General features: G+C 45.9%; 1 pseudogene; it reads left to right on the top strand.

The window, feature by feature from the left end:
• On the top strand, positions 6,504 to 6,929 carry SIGLEC27P (sialic acid binding Ig like lectin 27, pseudogene; annotated as a pseudogene).

Genomic DNA, 13,087 nt, shown 5'->3' on the forward strand with positions numbered 1-13,087 from the left:
GGGTCACCCCTGGAAGATCCACCGTCCACTACCCCGTCCACTCCTGGGGACCCTGAGGCCAGAGAGGATGAAAGACTCACCCAGATTCCAACCCCATGCAGGGCCCACCCCGCCCACTGCCTCCCTCTCAGTGCCCTTCCCCTTGGGTGATATTTTCCATAAGGTGAAAATGAGTCCCATGTGGCCAGACCTATGAAGTACAGGCTGTGGATGTCTCTCTGTAGGTCAGAGGTGACACTAGGATATAAGAGATGGGGGTGCAGGTGGGATGAGCAGGCAACCTCTCCTTCCTCCCTCAGCGGCCGTGAGGTGGAGTTCAACACAGCAGAGCTAGACACTGTCCCCAAAGAGTCACTGTGTAGTGGGGAGACACTGAGGCTCCTGATATCTGAGCTCTCCATGGCAGGAGCTTCAGTGGGGGTACCAGGCAGGGTGTGGTCGCTCTCTCCTATGTTGGGGAATCAGTCTCGGGAGGACTGAGCAGAGAGACACGGGGTCGTGGAGGTGAGGATTCCGTGTGTTGATACACACCAAAGACACAGAGAAGAGCCCAGTTCACAGGAGGCCTGAGAAGCTAAGGCTGTGACTGTTGTACAGTGAGGTCTGGAAGGGAGGAATGTTGGATGGGAAGGGACAGATTTCTAAAGGGGCAGGCGTTTCTCTCTCGGCCATGGCTCTCTGGGTTCAGGATGGGATCCTTCACCACTGCTCTCTCACAAGTCCTCCTTACTCCAGAGCATGAGGGGTCTGCTGGCCCTTTGTTCCTGCAGGCTCTGCTCCCAGGGTTTCAGGTGAACAGGAGACGTGGAGCGAGGACACCAGCCCTGGCGTGTCCACGCTCAATGATGGACAGGATTTCATGGGAGAAGAAATGCACCTGAATTCAGCAGAAGAGTTTTTGAAACTGTATGCTATGTACTGGGAGGAAGGTGGGGAAAATCCTGCAAGATTCGCCCTCCTTAGACCCATGTCAGCTTTTCTTGAAACAATGATTTTTGGGGAAATGTAATACAAGTAAATAAAAGTGCCACCTAAAAAAATGACTCAGTGATTTTCACCAAATTATCACTGTTCAAGAAATAGAACATCACAAGATAATTGCCAAATTTCTCCCATGAGATGAAGAAAGAAATTGCATTCATTTATTCAGCCCTGTGTTTCCCCTTCCTATAGGCCACATGCAGTTCCTCCTGAAGATGCCCCAGCCTCACTTTAATGATAATGGTCTCCTTGCTTTTCTATGTAGTTTTATCATCTGAGTGCACTGCCTTCAATACTATGGCTTTGCATAGGTTTTTCTAAAGACTATTTTTACATAAAAACCACAATCTGTTTTATTTTACTCAGCTCCATGGATCTTCCCATCCCCATGTTGTCCCCAATTGCCCATAACCTGGAGTAGAGTCAGTTGGCTGTGATAATTGAAAAGGAAATGTGCAGGATTGGGGCATGCATAGCTGCTCCTCTCCCTGACACCACTAATTCCTGCATTTGCAGCTTGTATCTCATCCTGCAGACCAATCTGCTCCTGGGCCCCCATCCTTGCCGTGTCACTTTCTTCCCGTAAGGACAGTTGCAGCATCTCAATGGGAAGAAGGGCTCGACCACGGCCCATCTCTTTCCCACAGTCCCCAGTTGGCAAAGAAAAGCAGAAAAATGGGAAGGAGAGACATGAGGAAGCCACAGAGAATCTGCAAAGGAAGAACGTTTGAACCACATATGACTCAGAGGAGCTGATGGGCCCTCTAGACCCACTTCCATAATTTGGAGAGGAAGATATTAAGGACCAGAGTGACAAGTGCTACAGCTACATGTCTCTCCTCAAAATTCATTTGTTGACCTTTGAACCCCCATGTGATAGTATTAGAAGGCATGGTGTTTAGATAGGTGGTTTGGATTAGCCTAATAGGATTAGAGCCTGATATGGTTTGGATCTGTGTCCCCACCAAATCTCATGCCGAATTATAGGCCTCAATATTGAAGGTGGGTTGTAGTGGGAGGTGGTTGGATCACGGGGGTGGATTTCTCATGAATGGCTTAGCACCATCTTCTTGGAGCTGTTCTTGTGAGAGTGGGTGAGTTCTAACAAGATCTGCTTGTTGTCTGTGTGCAGCATCTCCCCATTTGCTCTATCCTGCTACTCTGGCCATGTGACATGCTGGCTTCCCCTTTGTTTTTTGCCATGATTGTAAGTTTCCTGAGGAACTCCCCAGAAGCCAAGCAGATGTCAACATCCTGCTTCCTGTACAGCCTGCAGAACCACGAGCCGATTATTCCTCTTGTCTTTATAAGTTACCCAGTCACAGGTATTTCTTTATATCAATGGAAGAATGAACTAATACAGAAAATTGGTACAGAGGAGTGGGGCATTGCTACAAAGACACCTGAAAATTTGAAAACAACTTTGGAACTGGTTAACAGGCAAAAGTTGGAAGAGTGTGGAGAGCTCACAAAAAGACAGAAAGATGAAGGAAAGTTTGAAACTTCCTAGAGACTGGTTGAATAGTTATGACTGAAATATTGGTCGTGATATGGACAGTGAAGGCCAAGCTGAAGAGGTCTCAGACGGAAATGAGGAACTTATTGGAAACCAGAGCGATGGTCCATTTTGTTATGCCTTAGCAAAGAACTTCACTGCATTGTGCCCCTGCCCTAGGAATCTGTGGAGCTTTGAGCACAAGAGTGAAGATTTTCAGTATCTCGTGGAAGAAATGTCTAAGAAGCAAAGCATTGAAGACATGGCCTGGTTGCTTCTAACAGCATATGCTCATGTGTGAGCAAAGAAAGAAATCACTGAAAGCTGGAAATTGTATTTAAAAGGGAAGCAGAGTGTAAAAGTTTGGATAATTTGCAGCCTGGCCAAGTGGTAGAAAAGAAAAGCCCATTTTCAGGGGAGGAATTCAAGCAGGCTGTAGTCCCAGAGACCCCAACATTGAAAACAGAGGCTCTTTTTTCCTGGACAATGGGGCCCGAGGTTTGTCACAGACATGTGGCCCCACAAACAAGGGCACTCATGAAATTCTCACCATGCACCCATGCTCATTCTCTCCCTTGCTTCATACTCCTGACTCAGCCAGGTCCTTCCAGCTCCGGCTTCAGGGATTCTGCTCCCAGGCCACCCTCCCCCAGGGCTCTCCCTTCCTCTCCAGGGTCAATGCTCACACGATGAAGATGACACAAAAGGACAGGAAGACCAGGCTGGGGCTCCAGCCCCCCTTGACCGCCTGCAGCATCACTCCTGGAGGGTTCTGAGCTCTGCAGGTGAATTCCCCTTCGTCCCTCAGATACACTTGAGGCAGTTCCAGCAGCCCAGGATTCAAGGGCTGTGAGAGGCTCAGGGTTGGGCTCCCCCAGGTCCAGCTCAGCCTGGCAGGGGGATTGCTGTCAACAGCACAGACCACATACAGGGACTGGCTTTCCAGGACTGGAAGGGCTGAGCCATTCCCCAAGGTGGTGGATGCTGTAGAGAAAGAGACAGAGGGTCAGAAAGACAGTGATCAAGACAAGGAGGAATGATACAGAAAGAGACTGGTGGATGGAACAGACACTGATACAGGCTGAAGTGCAGGGCCATACACACCTTCTCAGCTCACTGTTGGGAATGTAAACTTGCCCACTTTTAGTTGAGAACAACTTCATTTTATTAAAATTAGAAAGAACGTATAACACTGCTATATTTTGCTTTTAGGAACTATGCTATACACTCAGATATTGCTTGTGGAAGTAGATTTATGATTATTCATTACAGTGTTTCTGCAGTACGATAAAATTAGTGCCATGATTTTCCACTGGGAGATGCTACACAATCAGAGTCCATCCATGCAGTGGAATCACACACAGCCCTAGAGGAGGGTGTGGGCAGTCTCACTATTGATATTGGAGCACCTCTGAGATCCTCCAGGTGAGCAAACCAAGGCCCAGGGCAGCCTAGATGGACGCTGGGCGATTCTGGGGACAGACTCTGCTATGCATTTTGAATTTTCACCCATGTGACCATAACATGTATCCAAAAGAACGTAGCTCAAAACTATTGGGGAAAAGGAAAGATGAGGTAGGTGGTGTTTTCAGGAGATGGAAGAAAACAGGCCTCAAAGCCTGTGTTGTGAATCTCCCCCTGCCTTTGCTGTGGGGCTGAGGGGTGTGTGTGTGGAAGAGTCTTAGGGGAGTGATAGGGAAGTGTAGAGTCATCAGCAGCTTGCAACCTCAACATGGAAAAGCTACAGGCACTCATCTCCAACCTATGAGAGCAGCCACGTGGCCTACACCTGTCAAAGCCACAGGCAGAACTGCCCACGGCCTTGGGAGCTCACCCCTTGCACCAATGTGCCCAGGATGTGGGACACAAAGTCAAAGATTATTATTAAGCTCTAAGGTTTAATGTCTGCCTGCAGGAATTTGGATTTACATGGAGCCTGTTGCCACTTTCTTTGGGGCAATTTCTCCTTTTTGGAATGGGAATATTTCCCCAATGCCTGAACCACCAATGTATCTTGGAATTAAATAACTTGTTTCCTATTTCACAGGGTCATAGGTGGGAAGAACTTGCCTTGAGTCTCAGATGAGACTTTGCACTTTCAGTTGATGCTGGAAAGAGTTCAGATGTTGGAGGACTGCTGGGAAGAAATTATTGTATTTTGCAATGTGAGAAAGAGATGAGATTTGAGGAGCCAAGGCAGACTGATACAGTCTTGATATTTGTCCCCTCCAAATCTCATGTTGACATGTAATCCCTTATGTTGGAGGTGGAGCCTGGTAGGAGGTGTTTGGGTCATGGTGCCCTCCCATGACAATGAATTCTCACTCCATTAGTTCACAGAAGAGCTGGTTGTTGAAAAGAGCCTGGTGTCTCTTCTTGCTCCTTCTCTCACCATGTGGCATGCCTGCTCCCCTTTCACCTTCTGCTATGATTAGAAGTTTTCAGAGGCTTCACTAAAAGCTGAGCAGATGCTGATTCCTTACTTGTACATCCTGCAGAAATGTGAACCAAATAAACCTCTATTCATTCTAAATTACTCAGTCTCAGGTATTCCTTTACGGCAATGCAAAACGGACTAACACAATACTTTAAGTCCTCTCCAGATTATTGATAATACCTAATACAATGTCAATGCTATGCAGCTAGTTGTTATAATGTATTTTAATTGTATTATTTTTCATGATTGTGTTGTTGTTCTTATTGGTTTTTGTTTTTTTGAATATCTTTGATCCCCAGATGGCTGAATCCAAGGATATGGAATGGGTGGATATGGAAGGTGCACTGTATCCATTTGAAATGAGGCCACTTGTATGGGTCCTAATTCAATATAACTTCTGTCCATCTAGGAGAGAAGATTAGGACACAGAGACACACAAACCATGTGAGGACACAGAGAGAAGTCAGCAGCTACAAGCCAAGTAGAGAGTTCCAGAAGGAACCAACTCTGCTGACATGTTCAGCACAAGAACCGTGAGAAAAAAAAATTGTTGTTTCAGCCTCTCTGCCTGTGGCACGTTGCTATGAGAGCTTGAGTGACTAACAAAGTGGATAAGAGAACAAGGACAAGGCGGAGACAGGAACAGCTAGGGGTCACCTCCTCCAGAAGGCCTCTCCTGACTTTCCTCCATTACAAAGAGCTGACCACTCCCTTCCCAGGACCTGTCCTGAATATCTCTCCAGCATCTGGGTCACTTAGGAGACCCCCAGTGCTTTTCTATTTTTAAGAGTCTTCATTTACCAACTTGGGGTCCCTGGAGCTCATATGCCATGTAAGATTCACCTCCATCTATCCTCTTTAACTCAGCATCTGTTTGGTACTCCCGGTGCACGGAGGTTGAGGGATGAGCTCCTTGTCTCTCCGTGACCAAAACAGAGTCATTTCAGGAAGTGCCAAGTGAGGGGACAATATCTTGCCGAGTTTACTCCACTCACCCCACATACCCCAAGCCCTTCATGTTGCCTGAAACTCTCGCCTTCAGTGTTACCTTTGAGTACAAGTGTTCAGATCTCAAAAGCTGTTACAAGCATTGCCCAATTGAATGACAGAGGAGGAAGGGAGACTGGGAAGTGGACTAAGGCCTAGTGGGGGTGGGAGGGTACTTCTGGGAGACCAAAGGTCAGTGAGTTCACCAGGAAGCATGAAGGCGTGGGGCTGACACCAGCCTAAGGTGGACAGATTTATCAAAACAAAAAAAAAAACCATGGAACATATGTGGTTGAATTTGAATTTCAGATAAAAACTTTTTTTTTTTAGCGTAAGCATGCCTCATGCAATATTTGGAACATACTTATGCTAAAAAATATATTATTTATTCTCTATCTGAAAGTCCATTTCAAGCAGGCATCCTGTATTTTATCTGAGACGACCAGCCCCCTCCAGCAACTGTTCCTCCCCTGCATCCATCACCACCACTGCTGGTAGCCCAGATAAGGGGAGTTCCCTGTGGACTTTCATTGCTGTTTCCTCACTGACCTCTAAATTGGGGGCCAGAGGGAGAGCCCCCAAACCCCTCTGCACCCATAGCCATGCCCCCAGGACAGACACAGCTCTCCCTCTTCTCTTCCCTGGAGGGGGCTCTGGAAGGACCAGCTCAGCAAACCCGAGGCCAGGCAGCCCCCAGGAGACCCAGAGGACAAGTGGCAAGGTGGGCTGGGGACTGGGGAGGAAGGGAAAGGAGTCCTTCCACCCTTGGTGGTGTCCATGTGCCCTGCTCCTTCTGCTACCCCCAAGACAGCTGGACTGACTCTGACCCACTTCACAGCTATTGGTTAGGGGAAGTGGCCCTTCCAGCCTCAGATGCTCCAGTGGCCACAAACAACCCAGATAGAAAAGTGCAGGAGGAGACCCAGGGACAGTTGCAACTTTCCAGGGACCGACAGATCAATGACTGCTCCCTGAGGGGTCATACTTCTTTCACATGGAGGGAGGGAATATGAAATGGAGATACAAAATTAACCAGTTGTCCATGCATGTGATGCGTAAGGCATGGGCTCCAGGAGAGGCCATAAGCAAAGGTGCTGTGGCGGCAGGGCAGGGCTGGGACTGGATCTCCATCCTGGGATGGCATGGCGTTGATGGGCTCAGGAGAAGAACTGGACCAGAGCCTGAGCTTCCCCCTGGGTGGCACCTTGGATCCCCGTCCTAATCCTGCTTGTCCCCCTCTCCTCACCAGCCCTGACCCACAGGTCCAACCCACAGGCCCGACATCTTCATCCCAATAACCCTGGAGTCGGCTGCCCCAGCAATCTAACCTGCTCTGTGCCTTGGGCCTGTGAGCAGGGGATGCCTCCGACAATCACCTGGATGGGGCCTCCATGTTCCCACTGGGCTCCACCTCGGTGCCCTCCACAGTCCAGGACCACGACGCCAGCCTCACCTGTCAGGTGACTTTACCGAGGGCTGGTGTGACCACGAACAGTAACATCCAACTCAATGTGTTCTGTGAGTGTTGGGCCAGGATGCCCAGGCCCCTGACTGGGTTTCCCTGAGGGCAGTGGGATGCGGGTCAGGGTTGGACACAGGGATCTGGGTCCCGGTATCTGGGCTGGGAGTCAGGGGTCTGGAGGATGCTGGCTCCACCTTTTCCATTTATATGGCTCCTGGGGAGAGAGGGCCAGTGTCCCCAGCCCTCAGAGTCACCCACCACCATGTCCAGCTAATTTTTATATTTTTAGTAGAGATGGGGTTTCGCCATTTGGCCAGGCTGGTCTCAAACTCCTGAGCTCAAGGGATCCTCCCACCTCGGCCTCCCAAATTGTTGGGATTACAGGCATGAGCCACTGCACCCAGCCTCAGCATGAGATTTGAAGGGGACAAACATTCAAACTATATCAAGTATAGAGGAGGATGTGCTTATGTTACATGCAAATACTCTTTCATTTTCTATCAGAGACTTGAGTATCATGGGTTTTTGTATCCAAGGGGGGTTCACTCCCCCACTAATACCAAGGGACAGACGTATCTCTTTAAAGATGTGTTTCCAAATACAGTCACATTCTTAGGTACTGGACGTTGGATTTCAACAGATAAATTTGGTTGGGGAGAGGAACACAATTCAGACCCTAATATTTACCTTCCCCTTTTCTCTGATCTCTGGTTCCCCATGAGCCACCAACATGTGTATTCTCCAAAAAAAAAAAAAAAGTTATCTTTTTCCTGGGAACGCTCATGTTGGGAAATATCACACCCTCCCCTCCATCCACAGAGCTCAGAAAAAAGGCCTCTCACAAGAAGGTGTAAACGGAGGAGGGTGTGGGTGTGGTTCCCTCAGACCTCAGAGCTGACCCCTGAGGTCCTGCAATCCTAGGCCCAGCCCCACTTCTGCCTTTGGGCATTTCATACCCATATGGAACCAGCTGACAGGAACCAGGAAAGTGGTAACGTCTCCGTCCTCCTGTGGATTTTTCTATGCCATTGTTCTCAGTTGCCCATGGGCCAGAGAAGGGAGAGAGGACCCCCTGCCACCTTGAGGCTGAAAGGTGCCAATCTGGGACTCCCCAGTGGATTCAGAGGCCTCACCATCTCCACTGAGAGTGTGGCCCCCCTTGGGTTAGATCTCCCTTTTAACCTTAGAGCTGATCCCCGTGGTGAGAATGAGGACCTATGGACTTCAGCACTAGGGGAGGACAGTGTGGGGTCAGGCAGCATCTGTGTGCACAGCTGAATTGAAGCAGAGCTGGGTTTGATAGGAAGAGAAAGGGAGAGAGGGGGTCAGGGGCCTTCAGTGGCTCTGCTGTGGGTTGATCCTTCTCACTCCTGGGAGGTGCTGCCAAGAGGGTCCTGGAAAAGTTTCTGAGCCCATCAGCCCCTGTGCCTGTCTCCCTGCAAACTTGTGGGTTCCCTCTTCTCTTCACAGGAGGATTTCTCTGAGGAAATGTCTTCCTTCATTTCCTCTCCACCCTATTTCATCTTGCTCTGTCCCTACCACATCATTCAAACGGTTCTGGTCAGGATTACTAACGACCTCCAAAGTGCTGAACCACCTGTACAATTTCTATTCTCATCTCACTTGGATGCCTCTCTCTCAGTAGCATTAGGCTCAGTCACTCATTCCTGTTTAAAACACTTCATAGATTGGCTTCTGGGCCACCTAGAGCTGCCACCTTGCACCAGTTGTGGGCAACACACACATACTCCTAAGTCACCTGCCTGGATCAAACTATATGTAACATACTAGAAACTTCATGCCTCCTTCTACCTTCCTAACCATCTTCCTTATCTTTCTAAGGGTTCCTCCTCTGTTCCTGACACCTAACTGTTGAAATCCATCCTATTCCAACATGTCCTATTTGAAATGCGAAATATGAAAAGGTTCCTATTTCATATACTGTTTTAAAAACACAAGCTACCAATGTCAATTCTTTGATTTTCAGATCATCATATTCTCATATCCTATGATGATAGTGAAGGAGGCTGAGGGGAGGGTGTGTGGGTCCTCCCTGTACATTTCTTTGCAACTTCCTATGAATCTGTAGTTGTTTCCAAATCAAAAATAAAACAAAAAAACAAAAAACGACCATGAAGGCACATGAGAATGACAACCAAGAGACTCGCTGATGACTGGTAAAGTTGGATGCCAAACCCTGACCATTTCCTGTCTCTGTGGCATCTACTCCGGGAAATGAAGTGGGCATCTCCAGCCTCATATGTTCCAGGCAGCACTCAGTGTTTCTCTCCTCAAACTTCCTGCAGGGGGCGTTCCCTCTGGCCCTTTGGGATGTCTGAGCATCAGTATCAAGTGGTATCTGTTTGCATCTGCCTGCATCCCAGTGTCATCCTGATTTCCAATTCCCATATACAATCTATCCACACGGCCTGTCAGTTAAACTTTTTTTTTTTTATTAGATGGAGTTTTGCTCTTGTCGCCCAGGCTGGAGTGTAGTGGTGTGATTTCAGCTCATTGCAACCTCTGCCTCCCGGGTTCAAGCGATTCTCATGCCTCAGTCTACCTAGTAGCTGGGATTACAGGCATGTGCTGGCACGCCTGGCTAATTTTGTATTTTTAGTAGAGACAGGGTTTCACCATGTTGGTCAGGCTGGTCTCCAACTCCTGACCTTGTGATCCACCCGCCTCAGCCTCCCAAAGCGCTGGGATTACAGGCAGGAGCCACCGTGCCTGGCCTTGTATTTTTTATTTCTTAGTTAATTTCACTGGCTAGGACCTATACTACAATGTCGAATAGAAATAATAGGGCAGATATTCCTTCCTTTCTCCCAATCTTAGGGGAAAAAGTGTTCAATATTTCTTTATTACGTATGATGCTAATTGCAGGTTTTTAGATGCTCTTAATCAAATCGAAGTTTTTCTCTTCTAGTCCTAATTTGTTGAGATTGTTTTAAATTATAAATGTGTTTTAAATTCTGCCCAGCGTTATTTCTGGAGTAATCAAGAGGCACATTTGATGTTTCTCTTTTATTCTGGTAGCGTGGTGAATTACATTTATTTTTGGATGTGAAACCCCACTTGGTCATCATGTATTACGTCAATTTTATTTGTTGGATTGGATTTACTTATATTTAAATGAAGACTTTTCTATGTTCATGAGGTGCAGTGATCTGCAGTTTTCTTTTCTTGTAACGTCCTCATGAAGCTTTGGTATCAGGTTTGAATTTTGCCTCATGAAATGAGTGTTTTCTCCTTCTCTATTTACTGAGGGAGTCTGGGAAAGTTTGATATTATTTCTCCTTTAAATGTTTCGTAGAATTCCACATACAGTGCCATCATGATTAATTAATTACCTATGATTGAGTGGCTATTAAGCAAATGCCTTGAAGGATCGAATGGCGATGCTATTCACTGCTGTGTGAGCATTAATGACCACAAAGACTGTGTGGTAAACTCTCTGCTCCTAACTCTGCTGGAAAACCTGCAAAGGGCAAGTGCCAAGCTCAGGTCTTACCTTGTAGGTCAAGTTATGGTTGTAAACTACAGAAATGCCTTATGACTTCAAACAATTTCATGTCATTTGACTATGGGGACAATCTTGCAAAAAAAAAAAAATCAGACCCCAAATTTAATTGTATTTATTGAAGAATTACGACATAATTTGAATTTAAAGATTTGTCTGCGCTTCTTATAGGAAATTTAGGGCAGTTATTGGAAAGGACTGAGGGGCTTGGGCTTGGAAAGGGGTCTTGCATGAAGATCAAGTACCCAAGAACATGTGGATGACCCCTATGCATGGTCTTTGGATAAAGTCGAAAATCTTCAACCCCCTTGCCCCAAGACTTTTTGAAACTCTCTTGATACCAGAATATAGCCTGATTTCCTTGGTCTGGAGAGATTAGTCTTTCCTTACTGGAAGACTCTAATAATTCTGCTTGGAGAGATTGCCCAAGCACAGGAAGGTGCTGAGTCTCTTCAAAACTCATCCCAATCACTATTCATTCCAGACCAAGAATAAAATGCAAGTCTCTTCCATGGGGTAAATGCAATGCCCGACCCTTGAGAAGATCTTACATTCTAAAGGAATTATTGGATTCTCTGATTTATATCAGCAGACACCTGAGAAATATATGTTAAAGTGGACACTAGGAATCTTAGACCAACAAAGATAAAATATTACACTGGCTTAGCCAAATATATTGATACGGGTGTACTAACAAAAGATTACAGATACAATGTTTTGGCTCAAGAAGCTCTCAGGTGGATGAAGGAATTTGCTTTATGTTTGATTGAAACAATATTATCACTATATTCCAATGAAAATGGACTCAACAATGACCCAAATTTAACGAGGATGATGTCAGAACTTTCTTGGCATAATGGAGAAAAAATAACCCAAAGGTTTAGAGAGTTAAAAATGTTGGAAAATAAAAAATGACAAAAGTTCAACCTGTACCCTCATCTCCTCTGCTCTTACCCCTCAAGTAGTATACTGGTAAAGACAGCACAAGTGTCCATGAAAAGCTCTGTGAAGACTAACCTGGTTCAGCCTATTTTTTTTCACCTTATATATTCTGAAGCCATTCTTTGCCTATTTTTGCCTTACATATTCTGAAGCTATTTTATCATGTGCAGGTAAATTTCTAATGTATCTTCCTAGTATATTGAATATTTAATCCTTAAAAAATTGGCCCTTTTATCTCCATTAACACTTTGTTTGGTAAAAGATATATTTTCTGATATTGACATACTTATGATGGTCAGTTTAATGTGCCAATGTTTCTAGGTTATAGTCCCCAGAACATTCAATGAAACGTTAATCTAGGTGTTGCTGTGAAGGTGCTTTGTACACAGGATTAAGATTTATGATCAGTTTATTGGGGATGACAGAAAGAAATACTGCAACGGATATAATCACACTGCTTTCAATCAGGATGATGGAATTGTCAAAGGCAATGTGTCATTACTTAATCCCTAGAGATAAGTTGAGCACATTAGCTTTAAAGAGGATCAGAGATAAAATGGGAGGTCATCCTACCCCTACCAAAGAAGCTCAATTCTTGATAGTCACCTTTGGATTTTGGAGGAAATGTACAACTATGATTGGATGCTCTAACCCACTTACTACGTAAATCTTAAGACTTCCAGTTTGGAGTTGTTCTCAGTTCAAGGAAAGGCTCTGCAGCAGGTCCAGGCTGTAGTATAAGAAGCTTTACAACTTGAGGTTTATAACTCAAGATTAAATTATACTTGAATTATCTGGAATAATTAAGAATGTCGGTGTGCCCCAGAGTGAAGACCCCTAGGACTTTTGTTGCAAAGCCATGCTCTGTTTTTGAGAACATGATGGATCTCTTGAGAAAGAGCTTCTGACTTATTACCAGGCCTTGGTAGAGACTGATACCCTTACTATGGGATATGAAGCGAATATATAATACAAACTGCCCATCATGAAGTAGGTGCTCTGTGACCCATCAAGCTAAAAGGTTGGGCATGTGAAGCAATAATCCATTATGAAGTGAATTTGGATATGATATAACTGACTTCAAGATGGGCTTCAAGAAGTCCAGAAATCACAACCAAGTGACATGAGCAGGTGACCCAGATTCCTACAACTCCTCCTGGGATATTGCCTTATTTTTTCATGAAATCACATGTGTGACCTCATGGGCAGTTCTTTATGGCCATTGCTTGAGGAGGAAAACATTTCATCTTGGTTTTCAAG

The sequence above is a fragment of the Homo sapiens genome, chromosome 19 (assembly GCF_000001405.40).
Source record: "Homo sapiens chromosome 19, GRCh38.p14 Primary Assembly".
NCBI classification, from domain to species: domain Eukaryota; kingdom Metazoa; phylum Chordata; class Mammalia; order Primates; family Hominidae; genus Homo; species Homo sapiens.